This window comes from Homo sapiens, chromosome 5, assembly GCF_000001405.40.
Source record: "Homo sapiens chromosome 5, GRCh38.p14 Primary Assembly".
Lineage (NCBI taxonomy): Eukaryota > Metazoa > Chordata > Mammalia > Primates > Hominidae > Homo > Homo sapiens.
In genome coordinates this window covers 159,776,541-159,802,220 of record NC_000005.10, presented here as the reverse complement: position 1 = coordinate 159,802,220, position 25,680 = coordinate 159,776,541, and the positions used below count along the sequence as shown (strand labels likewise).

At 43.1% G+C, this 25,680-nt stretch overlaps 1 long non-coding RNA gene across 1 annotated transcript in view, besides 2 other annotated features; it reads left to right on the top strand.

Annotated features, from left to right (window-relative positions):
* LINC01847 (long intergenic non-protein coding RNA 1847) overlaps positions 1–25,449 on the top strand; it is a 94,613-nt gene extending 69,164 nt beyond the window's left edge. The window contains exon 3 of the long non-coding RNA NR_109891.1: positions 23,534–25,449. This is a non-coding gene — a long non-coding RNA (long intergenic non-protein coding RNA 1847). The remainder of the gene's footprint in view (positions 1–23,533) is intronic.
* Positions 19,661–19,730: a silencer, noted in NCBI's record as "silent region_16573". NCBI's record gives its function as "represses an Ori minimal core promoter by ATAC-STARR-seq in GM12878 lymphoblastoid cells {active_cell/tissue: GM12878}" and the evidence as "EXISTENCE:reporter gene assay evidence [ECO:0000049][PMID:35858748]".
* Positions 22,619–23,818: an enhancer, noted in NCBI's record as "MED14-independent group 3 enhancer chr5:159205410-159206609 (GRCh37/hg19 assembly coordinates)". NCBI's record gives its function as "activates an origin of replication core promoter dependent on BRD2, BRD4, P300/CBP and CDK7 cofactors, and independent of MED14, by STARR-seq in HCT116 cells {active_cell/tissue: HCT116}" and the evidence as "EXISTENCE:reporter gene assay evidence [ECO:0000049][PMID:35650434]".
* Positions 25,450–25,680: the final 231 nt, after the last annotated feature.

Here is a 25,680-nt window from a genome sequence, read left to right as displayed (position 1 = left end):
TTCTTAACATTTTGTTTGACCTCTAAGTTTGACTATCAGGTTTGAAGTGTCATTCTTTGGGATTCAGTAAAATCATAGTAAAATAATATATCATACTTTGAGTGGGTTGTACTAAGACTTAAGATTAATGTATATGGAATATAGGCACATAGTAGACCCTCCATAAATGTTGGTATTACTGTTTTTACTCTGCTAAGTGAGGATTTTTAAGGGCAACTTTGTATCGTATTCAACTTTGCATCCTTAGCACTAGCACTGTGTTTGGCATACAGTGGGGATTCAGGATTTGTTTGTTGCACTTAAACTAAAGTCTCAAATCTGGATCTTTAAGATTTCTCTAAGCATCATAGCATCTTGTTCTCTGTGGATGCCCAATAAATATTTGCTTTTGACTAATCAGTAAGAATATGTTGATTATTATTTATACACTGAGTTCTGTTTTCACGAATGAGCTTATACTTGATTTGGGAAAAGCAAGGTTTATACATATGAAATAAAGGGAGAACAATGCTTACTATAGATTTTCATTTTTTTCCCCCTGCTCAACATCCATTTCCTCTTCTTCTGGCAACAGACCGTGGATTTCCTTGGTGGAATCACCACTCCCACACTCCATGCTGTTAAGTGCTCTTCAGTGTTTTCCAGAAGATATGTAGTATTAAAAGAACCCAACACTATAATCGTCTCTGCCTTGTGGCCATGTGCAATAGCCCAGGTAGTCATGTGACCCAGCCCTGAGCAACCGGAACATCCCATATCTGTGGCTACAGTAGTGATTGGTTCACAGATGAGGACGGTGTCATCAGAAACGTGTCAAAAATGCGTTTTCTGAACTTCGCTCTTATGAAAGTTACAAATTACTCTGATAAGCTCAAAGGATATATTATCGGCAGACTATAGCAGGAGACAAGTGGCTATGGGATGTTCAGAGACTTTAATTTTTTGAGGGGCTCCAATTCCTCTTGGAAGATGCTCTTGGGTTGGCGGTAATGACATCGTCCCTGTCAGGCAAAAGCTGCTATCAGCTTTCAGGAAGCTCCCTGTGAGACATCATACTATAAAACTTCAGCATTATGGTTGCAAAAACTGACTTTAGCAAGTCTTCTCAGTGTCTTAGTTTGCCATTAACACCATCATGCTACATTATCCACAAATCATACAATAAAAACCAAGTGTCCTTATACTGGCACTTTAACCATTGGATGATGACAGTTATCTCCCGGGTCCAGGAGGAGGTGAACACAGTGGGCTAACAGACACATGAGCCAGTCTGAGCCAATGAGACTCTTCCTATGTGGGAATTCTGTGGAACTGCTGGGAAAGAGAGAATCTGCTTCCAGCTGGGGCTGTTAAGATGACAAAATGCTACGTGGAGCTTCCTGAAGCCATCTTGCCATCCCAAGGTGGAGACCCTGCCTAAGAAACAGAGAGGTGGAAAAAATAGTGAGGCTGTCATCCTAGCTCCAGGATCCAGTCATGCCTGAAGTGAAATCTACTCCTGGACTTTTCAGTTTTGCAACTAACAAAAAATTCCTTTTTCTTATTGCTTAAGACAATTTAAATTGTAAATTGTCACTTGCAAGATACAACACAAACAAGTGCATGACTCAGATTACAAATGTGGTGATTTGGGTGAACAAAGCAGAAATTATGCCTAGAGTAACTGGGATAACTTCTTCAAAAGCACATAGACTAGAGACTGGTCTTTGAAAGTGAGGGAGCATTTGCGTAAGTACAAAAGGGAGGACCCCACGTGCACGACAAATTAATAAAAACAACATGGAAGAGGATAAGTGAAGAAAGGGAATATGGAAGTGGTCTGGTGTGATGGAAAGGGTGCTGTTCAGATAGTCAGAGTTCTAGTCCTTGTTCTGCCATCATCCACATGACTGTGTGCGGAAAGACCGCTCTTCCGTTTTGGAACTGTTTCTCCTCATATCCATGCACAGAATTAGACTTGCATTGTCTCTAAGACTTTCTCTAACGCTACCTTCAGTGAGCCTATGGAATCTTGAAAGGCTGCTCATTGTCCTATATATTTAAACATCTCCAGAGTTACTTGTCGCCTTTGGAATATAGATTCTCTTTGGTTTTCTGCCTTCCCCTCTACCCCCCACCCCCCATTTCTTATTCACTTGGCAAAGAGTAATCTTTTCCCATCATATTCTGAATGGAATGGAAATGGACAAGCTACATTTACTGAAAAGCTGTGACGTTAAAGCTGTGAAAGCACTTGATTGTGCCCCGAAAAGACTCATTCTGAGTGAGAGTGATGAAAGCGGTGGGAAGGGGCCGCCTGGTTAATTACGAGTCTGTGCACATCAAAGAGCAAACGAGGAACTTTCAGGCACTTTGCTCTTTCTTAGCCATCTTTCACTGCCCTATTCCCTTTCAGTGGAAAAGGCTTTGGCGCCCAGGTCTAAATTAAGAACCAAGAGCACTGTATGCACATCAGGTACTGAACTAGGGCTCTCACTGTGCAGCCAGTAGCATTTGCTGCAATAGTGTCACGTGTCCCCAAAAGAAATATTTTTAGGTTCACAATCCAATGAAGACCAGACACCAAATCTCATCTGGGTTCATGTCCTCAGTTAGAATGTGTTTTGGGTTAAAACCATCACAGAAAAACTTGTGAAACTGATTTGAAATCTTCAGATTGGGCTTAAATGGGAGACTTACTCAGACATATATCCCCAAATTCTGAATTCCCACATCATCATCTAATACTACCATGCAAATATATTCATCTATTTACTGTTTGTCACCACCTTGAAGGTAGAAACTTTATCATATTTACCACAGTATACACAAGCCTGGCATAGAGTAATTGATCAATAAATGTTTACTGAATGAGTGAATGAACAAATGTTAAATAATGAGGGATTTATGTGAGCTCTTTTATTGAACCAGGAACATAAATAGGTGTCTATCAGAGTTTTTGATCAGCATGAGAAAACCACAGATACTACACAGAACTGATATAATTTTAAACCCCAAACAGAAATCTAACATTGTATATACCTTCACTGAAAATGAATGTGCAGAATTGATCTCACTTTTGGAAATACTGACAATAGTTCATGATCTTATGGGTTCATAAAACCCAGGTTGGGTATCTTTGATCCTTTTAACCTCTATATTTTGGATGTAAGGTATGGAAAAATTTTGTTTTCTTAGCCAATGCCTGAGACTACCATTTAGAGAGAGTGCTGTGTGTTGAGATAATGTTTGTTTGGAAAAGCCTGCTTGGGCAGGTGAGTCCTTGTACTTCATGAATGTTGGCTAACCTCAGGGCCTCTGAAAAAGGGCCAATGCTGCTGCTCTGAAGACGTTTTTGGGGTCTTGGGAGAAGGAGGGAGAAGGGAGAAGAGTTGAGAGAGCCAGGCAGATGGGGTGGGGTGAGGGTGAGGCTGAACTGTGTGCTGCGATTCCTCCCATGAACTCTCAAATTGTTTTTAAAGTCACTAAACCCATGGACTCCCTGTTGCACTTTTCCTTTTTCTTTTTCAGATGCATAGGCCTGAGTTTCTTATCTGGGAATGCTGCTGTGGAATGGATAGGGACAGTTCTGTACTTTCAGATCTGACGTCAAAGACGCCCAGGATAAGTCACATCCTTGAAGTTTAGAGAAATTATGGTCTGCCACAGGCAGCGGATGAGATGATGTCTGAATCAAGGTTATTTAGATATCTGAGGGATGGGAGGCTTCAGCTGACACTAGGTTTGCATGCTGATGAGGAAGCTATGGCAACAGGACATTGGTAACAACAAATAAAAACAAATGCATCACAACAAAACAAAAAAGATTTGGGTTCTAGGCCAAATGCCCTGTAATTGAGATGGAATTCCAGCTGTCATATCAGTTCCATGGCCCTAAGCAAGACAAAAGCCCCTGAGCCTCCATTTCCTCAGTCCCCATTCTCACACAGGAGGATATTTGTGAGCTCTTAACACAGAGCTCAGCAAGTATTGTCATTATTTTGAGGTTAAGAATTTGGGGCTTTTTTGCCCAAAGCCCCTAGACCAGAGAGTGCCAAAGCCAGGACTAGAACCTGACCCTCCTGTCACCCCATTGGCAGCCCTTTCCCCAGATGCTGAAGCTCTGTCACTGTTTTCCAGGTAACAACATAGATAGAGGCACCAACTTTGGGTTTTGTAAAAGCCCAGCTGCTACTTGATAAAAAAACATCCTGCCCAATGTGGAGTTATAAAATCCAGGACTTGATGACTATTTTAAATAATAGCAGTGAATTATGACTTCCTCTGTATTTATTAGGACAACACTATAAATGAGAAATTGTTGTGATGTCCTTGGGAAGATGCAGAATTTAATTCCTTGGGAATCCCATTGTATTCTCCCATTCGGGCTCCCTTTGCTGAGGAGGAATCACATTTATCATCTGACGTCTAACATGACATTTATAGTTCTGTTGAAGTTGTTTGCAGTGTTGACGGGTTGCGGGCTAGAGTTGTCTGAGCCTGGAGCTTTAGCAAGGCAGTGAAGCAGGGACTCTGGCTGCACAGGGAGCCCAGTTATTTGGGGTCAAGAACCAACAGTTTTTCAAATGGTCATAGAAGAGCCATTTCCCATCTTGGGGCCTCCAAGTTCATAAAAGCAAAGAGTTTAAAGGTTGGGCTTAGACAAATTTCAAAGGTCCTGCCAGCTGGGGCATTATATTATTCTAATAATTGAAGCCTATTTTATAGCTGATCAAAAGGGAAGTAGGACCTTCACTGACATATGCTTTGCTTGCTTTCTGTGTAGGACTTCCTTATGTCTGCATGCTGACTGCACAGTAGGCAGCTTTCCATTTTCCAGGTGAAATTTGAGTCAGTTGAGCTCTCAGTTAACAACTTAAAATTGTCAGCTTTGTCTGGTCACCCAGGATTCTCCTCCTTATTCTGTCCTCCACCCATGAGATCTGCCTGGGCCTGTCCAATCAGATTCAGACTTACATGGAATTCACATTAGGTCTTCTTTGAAGATGATAGACTTTTTAGGGTCTCAATGAGGAAAATGCTGGACGTCGTGTACAAAAAATTGTACATGTTCTAGATTATGTCATCCTTCTCCCAAGAAGACTTTATTTTATTCTGGCCAGTAGTTACAGTGGGGACAGATAAAGCTTACCCAACAAGTGACTGATATGGTTCTAAGCTGGGAGTTAGTGAGGACTGGTCTATTTCCAGTTTCTCTTTATTCTTGGTCTTAACTGGAAGTTTGGCATGTTTTCCAGGGCCCCTCCTTCTTAGCATCTGTGAACTCCCTCCAAATTTTGTCTCTCCTGCTCTGTGAGGGTTTTTTTTTTAAGCCCCTATGCAGATGCCCTCCACTTGATTTCTTGGCCTCTCATTCTCACCCAGTTTAAGATTCAGCAAATGCCTTAAGGTAGAAAGTGGAGCAAAATGCCAGGCTCTCTTCTCTCTGAATCCCTTTTCTCTGAGATCTTGTGTCCTCAAGTCCTGGCTGCCTTGATTGTTCTCTGATGCTGTTAAACAAACTCTTTTTAGGTATTTTACTTTAATCCAACATTTATACTTGTTTTCAGCGGGATGATGGTCTGAATTAAGCTACTTCATCCTAGTCAGAAACAAAAGTTATGGAATGGTTTAATTTAAATCATGACCTTCAAGAGGTGATTCCTGTATGCTATGGTAGAAGAACCTCAGACATATGAAACCTAGCTTGAATACCAGCACTGACTTTCATGAATTCATTCAACAAATATTTATTGTATGCCAGCAATATTCTAAGCACTTTGTACTCAGCACCGGGGATACAATGGTGAACCACACATGAGGTCCTCCTTCTCATAACGTCTCCTTGGGAAGTTGTATAGGGCACCCTTGACATAAGTGATGCCATCTTAGAAAAAGACTTGATTTTTACATTTCAAAGGGCATTATGTCAACAGGGACAAGATGTTCACTTAATCAATAGAGACAACATCCAACCAGTTAAGGGCATAACCCTTTATTATGAGTTCTCACCAGAGGACTCAAGGGCCTTAAAATTAGCAGGACTTCATCAGCTCAAGATGGTTGTCTTGACAGACCCCATTTGGCTGTCACTCATGATTGGCACCTGGAATTTGCTGCAGAAGTCTCTGGCCAAATCAAGGACTCTTCCTTGCAATACACTGACGACTGTCAGGATCAGACCAGGACACTCTCCTTGTCCATGTCACTCTCCTTGGACTGCTTCGTAAACCCCCCCCTTTTTTTTTCCTATTCCTGTTTTCCCTTCATGTTAAATATCCCTCTGTTTGGTGTGAAATATTAATTTCTAACATTTATATATTGATTAATTATACTACTACGTATGGTTTGCAATATTGATTGACCTGTGGAATGGTTTGAGTCTGTGTACCCACAGCTCTAATACTGAGTGAAGTGATAGTGTTAAGGAGAATTGCCTCCTTGGGAAGTCCATGTAGCTCGTGGTTTTTATGATTGAGATCAATAAAAGTCTGACCTTGGCTGGGTGCGGTGGCTCATGCCTGTAATTCTACCACTTTGGGAGGCCGAGGCAGGTGTATCACTTGAGGCCAGGAGATCAAGACCAGCCTGGCCAACGTGGTACAACCTCGTCTCTACAAAAATGCAAAAATTAGCCAGGCATAATGACGGTGCCTGTAATCCCAGCTACTTGGGAGGCTGAGGCAGGAGAATCACTTGAACCCGGGAGGCGGAGGTTTTGGTGAGCCGAGATCGCATGACTGCACTCCAGCCTGGATGATAGAGTGAGATTCCATCTCCAAAAAAACCCAAAAACAAAACAAAACAAAACAAACTGACCTTGTGGAAAGACACAAATATGTATGGACCTGGTTATGTCTGACCTTGTGCCACTCATGACAGAAGTCTTTATATTAAATAATTTTTTGATATCAAACTATCATCAGGTCTTTGAAGAAAAAAGAACATGGTGCCCAGTCAGAGAATAACAAGGTAGAAATCACTTAGAGTGTGGTTGTGGCCAGGAAAGGCCTCTTCGAGGAATCATTGAGGTTGAGAGCTGAAGGCTACATTGGAGTTAGCTGAGGGAAAATATGGGTGGAAGGTGGATGGAGAAGCATCCCAAGCATAAGAACCAGCATGTGTAAAGATCATGAGGTAGCCAGGAGTTTGATCCATCCAGCCTGAATAACCAAAAGTAAGTGAGTGTGGATGAAGCACATAAGTCAGTGATAAAATGAGGTAGGGTTGGCATAGAGACTAGGATTGCTAGCCTTGGCAAAGAGTTTCGGTTTCATCCCAAGAGGACAGGGGAGCCTTTGGAAGGTTTTTAAGCAGGGGGAGTAATGCGATCTGATTTATTTGATGAAGATTACCCTGGCTTTTGTAAGAGAATGGATCCACGCTGGGCTAGGCCAAGAGTCAGGGAAGCCTGATTCAACATGTTTGTGCTGACCTAGCTGAGAGATGATGGGGGCTCGGACCATGCGGACCATGATGGTGGCGATGGAGATGGAAAGAGGTGATGTATTTGAGACATACCAAGAAGGAAAAGCATCAGTAGGATTTGGCCATGGATTAGATTGAGGAATAAGAGAGCAAGGAATCAATAATAACTCCCAGGTTTCTGGCTTGAATAACTGAGTGGCTGTGTGTGTGTCCACAGTTATTGCATTAGTTTGCTAGGGCTGCCATAACGAAGTACCACATACTGGTGGCTTAAACCACAGAACTTTATTATTTCCCAGTTCTAGAGGCTGGATCAACCTGCTGGCAGAGTTGGCTCCCTCTGAGGTCTGTGTTGAAGAATCTGTTCCAGGCCTCTCCCTAGCTTCTAGTGATTTGCTGGCAATCCTGATGTTCCTAGGCTTGTAGTCACATCACCCCCAATGTCTGTCTTCATCTTCACATGGCATTCTCCCTTGGGCACCCCTCTGTGTCCAAATTTCCTCTTTTTATAATGACACCAGTTATAATGGATTAGGGCCTACCCTCATTACCTCATATTACTTAACCCAATCATGCCTGCAATGATCCTATTTACAACTCAGGTCACATTCTGTGGTTCTGGGGGGTTAAGACTTCAACAGATGGGCTTCAGAAGATACAATGCAATCCTGAATACCCTCAGTTTTTTTCACCTGCAGATTGGGAACAAAAATACTTCACAGGGAAGTTAGGAAGAATAAACAAGGAGATGAATATATTTAACATGCCAAGGACAGTATTTGGTACATAAGAGAATTCAGGAATTGTTGATCCCTTTCTGCTCTGTTGCCTAACCTAGAGAGAATGGAGAACTTCAGTTTAGAAGGGAGAATCCATTAGGGAAGCCTGTGGGGGCACCTGCGGTCTCAGGGTGTCCCTGAGATCATCCAGCTCTAAAGGAGCATGATGCTCCAGGGGTGGGCTGGGCCTAGAGTTGGAAGAGTGATTAAATTGTACCAGCCAGGGAAATAATACTGGCCTGGGAGTTGGGACCCCTGAGTTCTAATAACTGAATGAGTAACCTTGGGCAAATGCCTGCTCCCTCTGGTCCTGAGATTTCCATTACAAGTATCAAGTCATTCTTTTTGGCTAAACACATGTTGAATGGCTAAATTGTAGAGCCTCTAATGGGTGCCAGGCCCTGTGCTGTGAGGTGTATATCCACACTTTAATTTAATTCTGTCATTAGTCCTACAAAATTTCATAGATGGGGAGACTGGGCCTTAGAGAGGATTCAGTCATTTGTCTAAGACCACACAGGAAGCAGTGGATTAATATCAGGTCTATTCTCCCTTACAATCTAGGTTCCAAACTACGATGCAGCCCAACTTCCCTGTTCCCTGGCTTCAGTATTCTAGTGCCCCAAAGATCTCCTGGGACATGCTCACAGCTCCTTCTTGGCCTCTGGTACTCCATTGTTGAGTGTCAGTGCTGGCACAGCACAGTCATGTGAGGGAGAACCCCACACCTGGCTGCTGCACTGGGGCCCGCTCGATTTCCCAGTCTTACCTGGGAAGCCCATTCAGCGTGAAAGGAGCAATTAGAAGCTGCAATCAGTGGCATATGAATCAGAGATTCTTTCCTTTTAAATATTTTGACTCACTTGCCATTTATTTGAGCTCTAATCTATACTTATGTCTCTGTTTTTCTGAAAGGGATTTCAGAAGGAATGGGAAGTGGGAGGGGAGATGGAAGCTTTTCTTTTCTGGACAATTAGCAAGGATTGTTTACTGGAGGTTGATTTTACCATTGGGTAATTGTGCAGCCCCCGCCCCGGCCCCGCCTTCTTGTTGTTGCCCCTAATAACATTAATTATGATTTTAGCTGCCGATATTTGGGCAGCCCCCTGTGACAATGAGGAATTTTGTGATGATTCTGAGGCAGCAACCATGGCAGTGCAGTTTCAATATTAGAACCTGAAAGTTGCCAGCATGGGGTCCCTAATATAAATGTGACTTTCATGGGTGTGGAACCCTCATTGTGCTACTTTCCAATAGGGGGAAAGGAACCATAAACATAACAGGAAGGGAGGAAAGGTACAAAGGACAGCAGGAAAGGGGTAACCCCTTGGGTCTGACCTAGGGAGAATACACCCACAGTCTCAGAATTGCCTTCTTAAAATCAATAATCACAATGTTTTGTGTTTGCTATAAGGTAAGTACTGTCATCATCCCATTTCATAGATTGAAAAAATGAGGCTCAGTGACATTACATAATATGTCCCAACTCACTCCTTGGTAGATAGCAGATCTGGGGTTCCATCTCAAGCTGTCTGTAGCTAATCTTAGACTCTACAGCCAGAGCTCATATACACTTGATCACTATATTTACAAGCTCAGATTTGCAGAGGAAAGCCTGCTAAGGCCACAGAAAAGCTGATTAGCATCTTGGGTAAACAGCCCTGCCCCTGCCTTAATAATCCTAATCACAACCGCAGCCGTGTATCTAGGGCTTATGATGGATGAACCACCTCTGTACTTAATAAATACTGCAATACATTCTTTCATTTAATTCCCACTATGTTCCTAATGAAGTGGGTACTATTTTATAGGTGAAAACATTCAGATTCAGAAATAAGAAGTGATGTGCTTGGGCCATGCTGTTAGTAAGAGGTAAGGCCAGGATTCAAAGATGTATTTTATTTCATTTTTATTATTGCACTCAACATCAGTGACTTGGAAATTTCTTTGTCAGCTGGAGATTTAAGGTGAGGGCATTTTCACAAATCTCAAAACGACATTCCTGTTAGAAAGCTTTTGCAGTCTTCTTTGTAGGAATATGTTTCAAGGAGTGGGTTGCTCTTTAGTATCTTAAATCCTATGGCCCTGATTATCATATACTTCCTGGCAGGTGCAGAGCTTTTGCTAACTCTAATTTTCTTCCTTTCTGGGTTCAGCACACACCATTCTGTCCTCAGTTCCTATAAGGGATGGTTAATCCAGCATGGCTTAAATGGAGCCCTTTTCTGCATCCTCCTCTGCTCCTCTGACCTGGGCCCTTGTTTCTTTTAAACAACCCTCTTTACACACCAAACTGTCATCCAATCCCCTTCCTCCTTCCTTCTCTAACTCTCACTTATGCTTTCCACACCAACAAACCTAGTGTCCACTTTTACCCCCGAATTTAGTGGTGCTTCAGAAAGAAGCTCCTGGTCCCTTGAAATCATAGTTGGATTATTTCATTCATGCCTGGAGAGGGTCTCCCATCCCCCTTCAAAGAAGCAGAACAATGTAGAAAAGAAAAATGGCTGAACACCCTGCACGATTATGGATAAAGGGAAAAGTCAGTAAAATCCTTTCCTGATATACACGGTAAAACCTGGAGTAAAAGAAAGCAGCAGAGTGTGGGATTCGGGGTAATGGAATTTTCCGGATACTTAAGACTTAATCTTTCTACAGCGTACGAATCCTCTTTCTTGTATCTGTAAGAGTAGCACTACAGCCATAATGACTATTTCTTGATTGAAGGTTCTGCGTAGTTGCATGGTCATCGTTCTGGGCAGGCATGGGCCTCCACGGTGACGGAGGCAGACCCAAGGCTGGGATTTGCCTCCCCTCTGAGATGTGCCACATCCAAAAAGTTTTGTCTTCTTTTTTCGTTTCTGGCACCTGAATGTTCTCTCTTGATTTTTCAATAAGGCCAACAAATTTTCTTAAAAATTAAAAATAATATCAGTCTGACATTTCTAATGTTGAAAGGGCAGGGCTTCCGCCCCAGTTCACACTGCTCTCTTGACTAGATGTGGCTCCTGTGTCTCTATTTAGTGCTCAGCCATCAGGGTGTTAATAAAGGTGGAGGGCTCTCCTATTTTAGAGAATTTGTCCAATACCCATTTAACTAAAGTGAGCAAGAAGAAGTAACATAGGTGACATGTATACAATGGAATACTATGCAACCTTAAAAAGGAATGAATTAACAGCATTTGCAGTGACCTAGATAAGACTGGAGACTGTTATTCTAAGTGAAGTAACTCAGGAATGGAAAACCAAATATTGTATGTTCTCACTTCTATGTGGGAGCTAAGATAAGAGGACATAAAGGCATAAGAATAATGCAATGGACTTTGGGGACTTGTGGGGAAGAGTGGGAGGGGGGCGAGGGATAGCAGACTACAAATATGGTGCAGTGTATACTGCTTGGGCGATGGATACACCAAAATCTCACAAATCACAACTAAATAACTTACTCATGTAACCAAATACCACCTCTACCCCAATAACTTATGGAAAAATAAAAAAAATTTTCTCATTAAAAAAAAGTAAGGTAGGTGCTTAACTTATTAAGTGCTTAGTACTTATATCTTGTAATCCTTATAACAAACCTGAAATATGGACATTTGTTTTCCACATCTTAGAGCCTGGGGAAACCAAGGCTCACAGAGGTTTCCAAAGTAAGTTGTCCAAAGTCAGCAAGGTAGCGACTAAGAACTTAGGATTCTTTACCTTCCATATATTTGCTCTTCCCACTAGCCCACATTGGCTAGGATGCAGTTCAAATCTGGAAAACTCATCCTTCCAACTTGTAGCAGTCACTCTTTTTTCAGGTGGCGGCTTGAGCAAGTGTGGGCCATTGGGTGCCTGGCAAAGACACATTTTGGAGGCCTCATCCTCCTTCAAGGTCTAATGGCACCAACACTGTCATTGGCCCTAATCTAGTGCATCACTCCATTTCTTGAGCCCTTCCACCTGCCCGCCTTCCTCCCCAGCAAACAGACTTTCCTGTAATAAGGTCAACCTGGGAGCAGTTTTCTTATCATCTCAGATGGGAGATCACTTCCCAAACCACAGTGTCTGGTTATTCAACTTAGCCAAATCTGATAACATTTCTGAACTTAATTTACCTATCTGTATATAGAGATTAATAATCCCTCACTTTAGTTAACAGTGTCCAAGCATGTTGCCATTACCATGGTTTTATTTTTTTCTCCAGGAAGTTAAATTAATTTTTAAAAAACAGCTCAGAGTTATTGAGCATTTTTTATGTGCCAAGAACCAAATCTCTTTATATTCATGTTGTGGTTTATTCTCACAACATCTTTATGGAGTAGTTATGTCATTATTCCCATTTTAAGGGATGAGGAAACCAAGATGAAGTAACTCATCCAAGAAGTAAAGGGACCTCTCTGAATGAAGAGCTCAAATCCACAAGTTCTACCCTCTGATACAGGGGAATAAAGTATTCCTTCCATTGTTCAGGGAAGAGGACAAAGGCAGGGGGGCCCAGAGGCATGGACAAGTTAACACATCAGCAGAATAAGGATAAGAAAGAGAGTGGGCTTTACTTTAAGGATGGGGCTTTTATGATACAATCTTACATCTCTGTTAAAACTCATAAGGATGTGGAGACTCAGAAATGCAGTTCTGGTGACTCCATGAAACAAACTGTATTTGGATGACGCCCCACTCCCCAGAGAGGTCTAAGGCTGCCCAAGGTCTTTCTTCAAGCAGTCCTTTCTCCTGTTGTCCCTGCTCCTTAGGTGAGTCTGCTGGCTCTGTGCCCACACCCAGGTCTGGGGTTTATAGCCTGGGCTGCCCTTACACCCCTGGGGAGACCTCCCATAGCCTCCTGACCCTGAACGGTGGCCCGAGGCTCCATGGACCTTTCTTTTTCAGGAGGCAGTGCTCCCTGCCAAGAAGGTGTCTGCTTTGGGCGGGAGGGGAATGAGTACAGAGACAACTTGGTTCTGTGCCCTGATCTTGGTTAGGAGAGGTCTTCAGGGGAGTTTGAGTCCCAGTGACCAGCCCCAGAAGCTTTCAGGAATTTTAGATTCTTGACTTGGCCCCAAATAACCCCCTGCTGGATCTGCTGGTGTCTCCACTGCCAAAAAGCCTAAGGAGGACATGGAAGCCTCCCCCACAGAGACCTCCCGCCCTCAGCCCTCTTGGATGTGCACACTGGAGCCTCCTTACAGGGACATGACCTTCAGATGGCGTGCCTCACTCGGGAAGGTCGACTGAGGCTGGAAGGGCAGCTCAGGGAAGACAATATCAAACTCTCAAGAGTTGATGGTTCTATTTTATACTTCAACTTTCACCCCCTTTCCTTCCTTCAACTTCTTAGTTCTTTTCTCTTCTGTCACGTGAAAGAACCAGTAAATTCTGGGTTCAAATACCAGCTCCCTTACAATCATCTTTGTGACTGTTGGAAAACTGCATAACCTCTCCCTGCCTTGGCATTTTTAAACCTGTAAATTAGGGATGATAAAATCTTTGCAGTTTTTAAGAACCACAGATAGAGTATACCAAATGCCAAATATTTAATAAACAGCAACAATGATAATAATATTTTAGTATACTACCATATGGCATGGTAAAGAAAAATTAGCTAAAGGGATTTTATTTTATCTCTAAAAATGCTGTGGACCAAGACATTTAGGAATAGGTCTTTAATCAAGGTTCAGGAGACTTAAGAATAAATAGGCATCTCAGCTGTAGAAAAATGTTACAGAGGTTGCATAAGAATCAATCCCACAGTCATGTCTCTAAGTGTCAAGATCTCTCTGCTACTCTGATCTTTCTGTCTCTCTAGGTCCCCATATACATGTCCTTGTCTCCTTTTACCTGTCACTGGACAGCATACACACACTCAGAGACTGCTCCTGCCTTGGGCCCTTCAACCCCGAAGAGAGCAGAAAAATGGATTGTAAGTTGATTGGCCAAACTCATGGGAAAGCAAGGAAACTGCTGTGATGATGGCTGGGCTTGGGGCCCCTGTCAGCAGAAGACTCTATTGGCTGATGAAGCTGATGGCAGGGCCACGTTGGAGGTACACCAGTTCCTAGGGAAGTCTGATGGCAACAGTTCCTGGCAGGTATTTTACTGTCTCAGACTAGAGCCTATTCACATGGCACTAGGCCTTCTGCTCTCCCACTAAGTGATTCTCTATGTGTCACATGCTAGCAATAGACAACTGGATCCTAAAACAGGGACATCAGAAGCTTAGCTCTGCAAACTGAGGGACTTTACGCGGTCAGAGAGGAGGGTGATAACACATCAAATATCTAATGCAGGAGACGACAAATAGGCTGCATGCTCCACACAATCAAGGCTAATTATTTGAGCACGCTTCTAGATTGGGAAGGGAAGTTAAAAAAAAAATGAAAAAGTAAGGAAAAAAAAAAGCAAGCTTCTTATCTGAAATTGCAATCCTACCCCTGAAGAAGCACACATCTGGAATTCATTCCCTGAGACAGTGAGCCATAGACCAGCTCTGTACCAGGACCCGGCCCAGCTGCCACGCGCTAGTGACTGAGCGCAGGCTGTGCTTTGCAAGGGGTTGATAGAATGTTTCTTGGATAAATATTCCTGCCAAAGTTAGTTTTTGAGCCATGGCTCGTAAATATACAGTATTCCAGGGAAAAAGTACAGAATGTCCTCCTGGGGTTGACAAGCAAATAGTTTCATAAATAACCCTTTTGACACGTGTAAGATGTTAACATTTCTGAGGTTTTGGGCAGGGGCAAATGTGGATTTGATTGCTCGATTCAGTCTGGAGCCACAACTGGACTTGGATGTTATTTCTTGGGGGCCCATGGAAATGTTTTTTTTGGCTTGCGAGCCCTTGTCCTGCTTGTCGGCCCTGAGGACAAAGGCTTCCTCTTGGAAGATTCTGGGCCAGTGCAGGGTACCGCACAGGTGAATCCGACCAGACCAGCAATCAAGGAGACTGGCAAGGGACATCCGGTAGATGCAATCCTTACTCAACAGGAGGGCAGGGCTGAGCCACAATATTGACTGTTTTAGAGGCACCGACAGTGCCCAGCCTGGGGACTGTTTTCGTAAGAGGGAGAAAGTTCCAAAGAAACCTCCTATTTTGATAGTTTTTTTTTTTCTTAACAGTAAATTTGGGGCAGAGCCTGAATGGGCTAGATCAAATACTATGTCTATAGGGATTTTAGTCCAAAGCCCAACTGCATCTTTAATCAGTTACTGGGACAGATTGGGGTTTGTCAAAAACGTGTTTCACACTGACCCTGTCATATTTCTAGAATTCTACCTTTGAAACGCATTGAGGTCCAACCTATTCACATGTAGAGTGTTATCTGGGCAAAAGAGATGAAGACATTACATTCTTGAGATCCTTGATAATCATTTATATGGCGCTTTAAAGTTTTCCTAAGCCCTCCCACATCTACAACTGCAAATGAACCCTAGAATAACACTGTGGCACCTGGTCAATAGGGCAGCTGTCACCATTCCCATTTTACAGGTGGGAAGCAGAAGTCAGGTGAGAGGAAGATAATTGGCTAAGGCTTCCTGGTAGTAAATGGAAGAACAAGGATTTGAATTGGGGCCCCTGGCCTTTTGAAGCTATGTCAACAAAAGGCTTGGTTTATCAGACAGGCTAGGAAAGCAGAGAGCAGGACCTGGAGGAAAAGAGATCTGGGATAAGAAGATTTTGAGGCAGGAACAATGAAAACAATGAGAAGAGGGCTCTGAGCATTTTGGGGACCCTGTTCCGATGGGAGGCCAACAGCATCTGATTTTTATTATGCCTTAACCAGGCGTCGGGATGATAACTAGCCACACCTGTCCTCACATGCTACCTTCCTGGGGCTGGAGCTGGTGGCAGATGCAATGTCACCATGATGTTCCCAGGTGTGAGAAGAGCCCTTGCAGGTCTCAATTACAATACATTGACAGACAGCACGGCAGCCTGATTCTGAAGATGGTTCCAAATTCACCTGTGGAGACAGGAATGTAAAAAAATTTAAAAACAGGATAAGAAGTCTCTCCACTCTCTCATTTACTAGGTATATTGTATTTCTGTAGATTAACTTAAAAGGTCTAAATCCACCTTCAGTGAAAGTTAAGATAAAAATAATGGTAATAACTGCTGTCATCTGACTGCTGAGCCATATACCGGTCCCAGAGTCCAGCCCTTAATATGTGGAAACAGTTTATTGAGTGGACTGAACTCAACAGGGACACAGACAGGAAATGGATTTCTCTTTCTCTCCAAATGCTGCACTTCCAAACACTCTGCTAACTCCCTCCAGCCCCTGGATGACTTATCGGACAGATTCATACTTTTATTTCTCATCAGTTTAGCTTAACAAGTACTGTTTTTGTTAGGAACCAAACTCGAGTCAGCTTGCCTGGCTTAGTAAAACCAGGTATCTACCCCAAGGTTTGTAGTGATGGAACAAAAGGTTTTTATTGTAGGGGACCAAGCGAGGGGGTCCAAACTGTTGAATGTTTAAATCCTGACCTACCTGATGGCTTGTAGGCAAGGATTTTTAAAGGCAGGGGTAAACTACAGGAAAGCGGAAGTCACAGTATGAATCATAAATTAATACATGAAGGTAACACATTGGACCTAAAAGGGTGAGATATGTTGAAGTAGAGCTTACAAGTCATAGGTAGATTTAAAGACTTTATGATTTGTAATTGGTTAGGGAAGAAAAACTTTGTTTAAAAATTTGAGGTCAGTGGAAGACTGTTAACTGGCTAGGGGGTGTGACTTTTTCTAAGCCCCCACCCCAGGAAGACACTTAGAATAAAGAATGCTGGTTAAAGTTTAGTCATTATTTTCTCCTTATCTGAGATCTACATGTCACTGGATCTGTTCAGTGGGGGTTGAGTTTCTGAAAGACAACTGAAGGACACATGTGAAGATATTATCTTGAGGTTCTATAGGGAAAGGAAACATCTCTTGGACTGTAACTTTCTTAGCTATTGTTTTAGGCTACTATTACTTTTGTGTTTAAGAAATTATTTCTTTCTTGGACTAGCTAGGTGCCTGGGATTTCCCCTGAAGGAAATCAGGATTTGGGATCTGCAGGCTCTTAAAAAAGGGGATCCCTATTCTGTCTTACTTTTGGCATTTATACTCAATTTCAGATGCTAAATGGTCCTTCAAGGTTATACCAGACTTCAGTCTCCCATCCTATTCAAAGTCCCCCCAACCCCAACTCAGGCTATAGGGATCTGTTGTGGGTTGGGAGGGAGCACATGGTATCTTTTTTCACTTGTACTGAACTTTCTTTCAACTCTCTGTGGCTGGCTCCTTCAGAGTCAGGGTAGGGTGGGCATTAAGGAAGAAGGGAGTCCCTTGCAAAAATGCTGGAATCAGCCATCAGTTCTACTTTGGGGCAGTTGCCCATTTGCTGGCACTCCAGGATATACTCGCAGATTCTCAAAAGCCTTGAATGAATATTCAGGGATACCTCCTGGGACACTCCTTGAAGCTGTGCCCCATTATTTTTTTTCTAATCGTTGTCATTTATTGGCTTAAAAAACAATATCCCAAAGTCTTGATTTGGGTGTGTGTCAGTGGTGGTGGGGCCAGAGCAGCTCACTTAATTCACATCTTGTGAAAACCCAATCATACCGGCCTAACTGACAAGCACAAATGGCTCTGGCGAAGGTGAGGGAGCCAAACGCAAATGACAATGCCATCAGAGTTGACAACAGAAGTGTGATTAAAGTGCGTGCTAACCAGTGTTCCCTGCATGAGGTCAGTCCTCTCACTGATCTCCTACTTGTAGTCAGATTAATAATTATACTCTACCTGCAAACACAGATTTTCCCTTTCAAAATGCATTCACATCTGTGATCACTTTTATTCGGCCCCCTCAATAAGGCAGTCACAGCAGGATCTGTATTATTGGCCCATTTCACATCAGAAAACCGAGCCCTGTGGAGATGAAGGCATTCCTGAGTTCCCCCAGCAGGTGAATGGCAGAGTAAGAAATGGAAATCCCATCTCCTCCCTCAGAGTCCTTAGCTCGAGTGAGACTCCTCAATAGTATATTCAAAGACACATCAAAAAAGGCCAGCTGTCCTTGGCTGACTATGAAGCTGGGGTTCCTGCTGGGCTGCTTCTGCAGGCAGAGACAAGAGCTCTTTCCACTGTCTGAGTCTTGCTTTTGTCCATGCTTCCTGTGTGCATGCTCACTGCATGTGTTCATTTCCTTGCATATTTCTTTTCTTTCTTTAAGGAGAAGGTAGAAGACAAACTGAGGGGCTTTCAAACAGATAGGGACAATCTTGGTCCTGTCCTCCTATCTCTACAGCACCTGAAGGCACCATCTTCCACATTCCCTTCCTCTCTTTCTATGAGAAGCACTGGGAGAAACAATAATTTCAGTAATAACATCTATTTGTTGAGCACTTACAATGTGCTAAGTATGGTAATAGGTGTCTTACATGCATTTTTTCCCCACACTCCTTTCAACTACTGGAGAAAGAGACACTTTAGGTACATTTTTCCCCCCAAAACCACTGAGGTCAAATGTATTTCAGAATTCAGGATTTCTTTTAGTTTTTAGGAAGGTAAGATGGAGTAGGTACTGTACATAGTCTCACACCCTCAACAGAATCTGCAGCAGCATCTTGCTATCAAACACATTCACTTTTCTGTGGTAAAACATAGAAATAGTCACAAAAGAAGGATAAAAGTAATAAATAGCTTCAGGTTAATGCAGGTTGACTTTTGCACCCAAGTCAATGCATATCAAACTTAATAAAGAAATTTGTCTTTTTTAGAGCTCTTTGGACTAGAGAATTGCAGATGAGGGATAGTGGGTCTGCATTATTATGCTCATTTTACAGATGTCAGTACGGAAGTTCAGAGAGCTTCTCATCCAAGCCACATGGCTGCGAAGTGACAAGGCTTGGAGACAACCCAGCACTCCTGACTTCAGCACCTGCTCCCTTAACCATGAGGGTTCCCTGGAACATTCATCTCTGGAAGCAACAGACATGAGCATCTCTACCAACAAGCAGTTGTAGCTTTCATTCCTTGAGGGTGAGGGCAGCAGAACTGTTGGAATCTCTTGATCCAGTTTTAAGAATACATATAATGGACCATAGCTGGGCACTGCCTGCTCTAAATCCTTGCTACTAAAGTGTGGTTCATGCACCAGCAATATTGGCATTACCTAGGAGCTTGTTAGAAACGCAGGATCTCAGGTCCTACCTATGACTTGCTGAATCAGAAATGCATGTTAACAAGCTCCTCAAGTGGCTCACTGTTGCAGCCCAGTTTGAGCATCTCTGGTCTAAAGCTCTTTCCTTGCGTGATCTCACTTAGCAATCCTCACAACAACCCCATGAGACAGGCACTATTGTCATCCACCTTAGACCACTAAAGCGAGGTCCAGAGAGAGTAAATGTAGTTTCCCGATACAAACAGAGGTCAGTCTGACTCCATTGCCTAGGTTGTTCACCACCATGCTGTCCTTTCACTTTTCAGGCAGAAAGTGAATCCAGAAACCCTCAGGAGCTCTGGATGGGCCTGCTCCTCTTGATGGGTAAGGAGAGAGATGAAACTCAAGTTGCAAATTAGTGGCTCAAAAGGGGCCTCCCCTCCACTGTCTCCCGTGCGTCCTCCCTCAGCTCCTTTATCTGACTATAGTAGCCACGGAGCTGTTTGCACCAATTTTCATTCTCTGCCTTCTGGACATGTGACGTGATTTCACTTTCTTATTCCACTTAAACACAAGCAAGGCCATGTGACATGCATCAACCATTGGCCAATGATATGGGGGTGGAAGTGACGTGCATCATTTCTGAGCATTTAATTGTCAGTGCTGGATGTGCAGCACCCCCTGTCCCCTGCCACAGGGGTCCTAGAAGCATGTGTGGAAATGAGGCCTCTGTCAGTCTGGTCCCTGAGAGATGACAAGGAGCAGAGCCCCCACCAGCCCACACTGGATGTCTAACACGAGGAAGAAATAAACTTTTGTGCTTTTAAGCCACTGAAATTTGGGGGGTTGTTTGTTACCCTGGCATAACCTATCCTATCCTGGCTGATTCTCTGACTCATCTTCCTTCCTTCTAGAGGGACTGATTTACTCTGTGGGAATGCCAGCCAGCATCCCTGTGGTTGGGAAAAATGTACCTGCTTTCATGTACCTAAGCTAATAGCTTCTTTCTCTCAACTGCCTGCGAGAACTTGTCTTTCTCCCTGTTTCTTTCTCAGCACCAGATTTATTTCTGATTTGTTTTTCTTGTTGAGCCTCTACAACTCCTTATTTTCCAAGGCTATTTTTAGTGGCTCCATTCTACCCTGAAGGAAATAGTTCACATCTTGGTGCCCGGGGCTTTTTTAGCTCCTTTTAATGGGAGAGGATAGCACATATCAACAATTCTTTAAGCCACCATGTCATTTCCCCAAGAGGCTCAATGAAGAACAAAATGTCTCCATCAAACAAGTTTTCAATGTTAGTCTCCAACCTTTTCATTGTGCATGATCCTCTCCGGTGCGAACAGAGTGATTTTAACTTTCCATTGCTTTCTTCCTTTTGTAGGTTAAGCCTGTTTCTTAAGCCTGGTGATTTCATAGGCCTCCTGAATCAGTCTTTGGGAATGGTGTTCAAAAATCTATGTTTTTCACAAGCTCCTGGAGTGATTTATCTATGGACTACTTGAGGACAGGTGTTTGGGAAGTCTTGGCTATGTATTCTACATACTGAGCTACACGTTTGTCATAACTAATCCCTGCTCATTAAGATGTCATCATTGAGAAAAACTGTAATTTAAAAACACATTCCTCATGGATGTTTATAGCAACTTTATTCATAATTGCCAAAACTGGGAAGCAACCAAGATGTCCTTCAGCAGGTGAACAGATAAACTATGGTACATCCAGACTATGAAATATTATTCAGTGCCAATATCCAAGCCATGAAAAGACATGGAGGAAACTTAATGCCTAAGTGAAAGAAGCCAATCGGAAAGGGTTATGTACTATGTGATTCCAGTGATATGATATGCTGGGAAAACTAATATTATGAAGACGGTAAAAGGATCAGTGGTTTCCAGGGGTTTGTGGGGAGGGAGGGGTGAGTAGATCGAGCACAGGGGATTTTTAGGACAGTGAAACTATTCTTCTGTATGACTTTATAATGTTGAATACATGTCATTATATATTTTCCCAACCCTATAGATAGAAGGTACAACACCAAGAGTGAACCCTTATGTAAACTATGGACTTTGTGTGATAATCATGCGTCAACGTAGGTTCAACATTTGTAATAAACATACCACTCTCATGGAAAGTGCTGGTAGTGGGGGAGGCTGTGCAGTGTGTGGGTAGGAGGTATATGGGAACTCTCTACCATTCCACTTAATTTTGCTGTGCCAGCCTGGACAACATTCTCTTCCATGCTTCTGGAGGAAATTATGTCTCCCTGTAAGCAAGGGTGAAGGGAGGAGTTGAGTATTCCAGCTCCTCTATGGATTTTCCATTTGCCATTCAATGTCTTCTTCCTTACTGGGAGGGCCAATCAAGACAAAAGGAGGATCTGAATGGAGCTGTCATCACATGAGGAAGTGCTCAGGCCATGGACTGGAATAACCAGGATGATCAAGGCCTTGTTTGCAGCAGGTTGTGACCCATTTCCTTTCTGGCAATTTGCAGCCAGACTTCTACACTCTCTCATTCCGAGGGAATGTCTGGGAAGCAAGAGCTTTGTATTCTCTGTATTCGTTATGCAGGAGCTACAATCATGATGGCTTGTGGAGATCAGGAAGAAAGCTAGGCCTGGGGAAATCGGACAAAAGGGGCAGCATGTACCTCAGAAGCATTTGGATGGGAGAACACCCAAACAGACTGGGCAAAGAGTCAAGCAATACACAGAATTCAGAAAGTAGCAGATCAGGAGCCACATGAATAGAATAGACTGGGCCATGGAGAGGAGGCAGGAGCACCTGACCAGAGGAGCAGCCTCTTAGCAACTTTATTCTATGGGGGAGCAGGTGTGAGATGAAGATAGCCATCCTAGGGTCTGGCTTCAGGAGTGAAGACCCAAGTGGGTCTTCCAGGGCAACCTGGCTGTGATGGGAAGGAAGTGCTCAGGGTTAAGGATGCTACTCGCGCATCATGTGAACACATAAGAGAGTTTAACCAGTTTCCACAAAGTATTCTAGGACATCAGCTGCTGAACTGAGGATTTCCCATCCCTGGGAAGGAGAAAAAACTGTTAAAAGACAGTCAAGGAAGTAAGTGGCTCCTTTAGACCACAACACTTATTTGCGCTTATAACTCACACACTCATGTGCCTATAACCCCAAAGAAATCCTTTCCTCTTAGTCCCAATTCTATTTAAATTTACTGGCCATCTAAACCTTTCCCTTTGGTACAGCTTGCGAATATTTTAAGAGAACATCTGTTAACACTTAAAATGAATGAAAACCAAAGGATCTGCTTGGTTTGTGGATAGCTGTGAAAACATAATTGACAGTCAAGCTTACATTTCACGAAAGAAGCTGAAATTTGTTGGACATTTGTTGGACTAGCGTTTATAGAGTGGAAACAATACTAATGGTAATAGTAGGAGTGGTAGCTTTAATACTAGAAATAATAATGATACAAATATATAACTGTTGAGCTTTTCTACTAAGGTCAAAGATTTGCTGCTGGGCAGGTTTAGCAAACCTGGATTCTCCTGTGGGTTTCCCAGCTTTCTTTTCTATTTATTATAACCCACTTTCAGCATAGGATCTGGTATAATTTATACTATAGAGTAAAACATTTTCAAGGTTAATGTGATGACTGTTTTAGAGAAGGTATTCTCTGTATCTTATTTTTCTTTCTTTTTTTTTTTGAGATGGAGTCTTGCTCTGTCACCCAGGCTGGTGTGCAGTGATGCAATCTTGACTCACTGCAACCTCCGCATCCTGGGTTCAAGCGGTCCTCATGACTCAGCCTTCCAAGTAGCTCGGATTACAGGCCTGTGCCACCACCCACAGCTAATTTTTGTACTTTTAGTAGAGATGGGGTTTCACCATGTTGGTCAGGCTGGTCTTGAACTCCTGACCTCAAGTGATCCTCCCACCTCGGCCTCCCAAAGTGCTGAGATTACAAGTGTGAGCCACCATGCCCTGACTGTCTGGATCTTATTTTAATGATAGAATTAATCTTTAAATCTGCTGATGTTGGACTTTAAGGTTGAAGGTAAAAGTTGCAGGGGGTGGGGGTGTTAATTTGGGGTTGGGTTAATATTTGGCAGGGTGCAGCCTGGATGATGCTGGGGCTTGTTAGTGGCTCTTCCAAAAGTCCTTGAAATCATACAAGTGAAAACCTTTGCAAACTGTAAAAGACCATTAGATGCCAAAACAAATTATTTTTCTTATTACAGGTGACCAAGAGCAGATGCTGATGCCAGGGGAAGACAAGAGGGAGCTGGAGGAGTGAAGGCAAAAAGATGAATTATTAATAATTTCTAAGAGTATGAAGTGTTAGGGTACAGAAGTTGAGAAACAGCTGTTCTTTATAGCAACCAAAGCCAGAAAATAAGCATTAATGACAGCAGGAAGATATAAAAGATACAGAGTTATATTAACTGCAGAAGAGGGTGGGAAATAGAATTTATTCATGCAGTCATTCAACAAACATTTATTGAGCACCCAGTATGCAGCAAGCACTGTGCTAGGTGCTGGGAGGGTAAAGATCAAAGCCAAATCCTGTGCCCCCAAGTGGCTCACAGAGCCATGTGTCTGCTGGACTGTAAGCCCCTCCAGGGCAGGGGCGCATGAGCCAGGCCACTACATCCCCAGATATGTGCCTTCCTCCTACTAGATGCCTAATATAGATTTGTTGCATAAACGATTGAATTAAGGTTGAACCAGAAGGAAAGACAAAGATGCCATCTGGTAATCATAGATCCTTGTATGTAGCCTGATGCTGATTTATTTCTGCCTGGCAGCAGGAGGGGAGTTGACAGAGATCTATATTCCCTTGAAAACTACGTGTCTTTAGTCTTCCTTGGTGTGCTGTATTTTGGAGAAAGTTGCCTGGTCTTTGGAGAAGGTCAAATTGCACAAGTCAGACCGGAAAGTCCACCAACCCTCCGAGTCAAGTTCTTGGCCCGAGAGTTTATATTTAATTACATATTGTCACCAGTCATCTGCTGTTCCAAGAACACAGAACACTCCTTCCAAAGCAGATACCTTTTTTGGACCTCCACTTCTCAAATCTTGTCCGTTGGAGTCAAAAGAGCTCCTGGCAGTGTAACTGACAACTGCACATCTGCGAATGGCACGAGTCACTCAGCTCCCAGAAAGAAGTGGAAGGCTTCTGTTTCCTTGCCTGCTCTTGGTGGAAAGAGATGGATGAGGCGAGGTCGTCACAAAGCCCCTTATACACCGTTTGCATATGGCTGGGCGTCCACAGGGTAGAGTTGGCTCTGTCTGTGCGAATCCCAAACTCTTTTCTGCTCATCCAAAGCTGTGCCCGATTCCCTTGAAGCCCACTGAATGACGCCCACACAAAGGCCTGTCTGCTCTGAGGAGCTCCTCCCTGTTGCTTTCCTTCACATCTCAATAAACCCTTCTCATCTTATATTTATCAAATGCAATCACAAAGGGACCACTTAATTAACAGGCTGCCATTGTATGGAGGATGATTTGGAAACTTAAAGGCATTTGAGAAACCTCATACTGTTCCAGACGACAAAAACAGTGGGATGCACCATCTGGGAGGGAGCTTCCTCCGAAACAGATGCCAGTGTTTCCGTGATAAAGAACCTAATATTATAACATCATAGTATGTTGTGCCATTTGGTGAGGAGAGGCAGTCCTCCTCTGAGCGAATGTTCTCAGGTTTCGCCAAATCATTCAGCACCAAAATATTTGCTCTGGCAAAGGGCGCTGGTTTATTCTTCTCTTGGGTCTATTTCCCCTATGGAGCCCTTGCAGGGCTGGACACATTGAAGGAGCTCAAATAAAATTTGTGGAGGAATCTGTTGGCTGGGAGGGTGGCATATGGTCAGAGTGTGGTCACTACATGCTATGAAGGAAACAGCAGGTGAATTCAGTTCCAAGGGCTTATTTCAAGACTAATGGATTTTTGACACATAGGCTTGAACTTTGCTTCAAAACAAAATGCTGGACTTGGCCTTCTATCATTCTGCCTCTCCTAACCCTTATCTCCAACTACTTCATTGTTTAGTTTACTTTTATTGAGCACCTTCCTATGTGCCAGGCATTGTGCTGAGCTTGGTAGGAGGATGAAAAAATAAATACAATATAGACACTGCCTGCAAGGACTTAAAAAGCTTATGTGATCCCTTTTATATATAACTGCTACTATTTCCCCTATTTACATAAGAAACATCTACCCATTGTAGAAAATTTAGAAAGCACAGACAAGCAAAAAGAAAAAAAGTTGGCTGGGTGCAGTAGCTCACACCTGTAATCCCAGCACTTTGGGAGGCCGAGGCGGGTGGATCACCTGAGGTCAGGAGTTCGAGACCAGCCTGGCCAACATGGAGAAACCTTGCCTCTA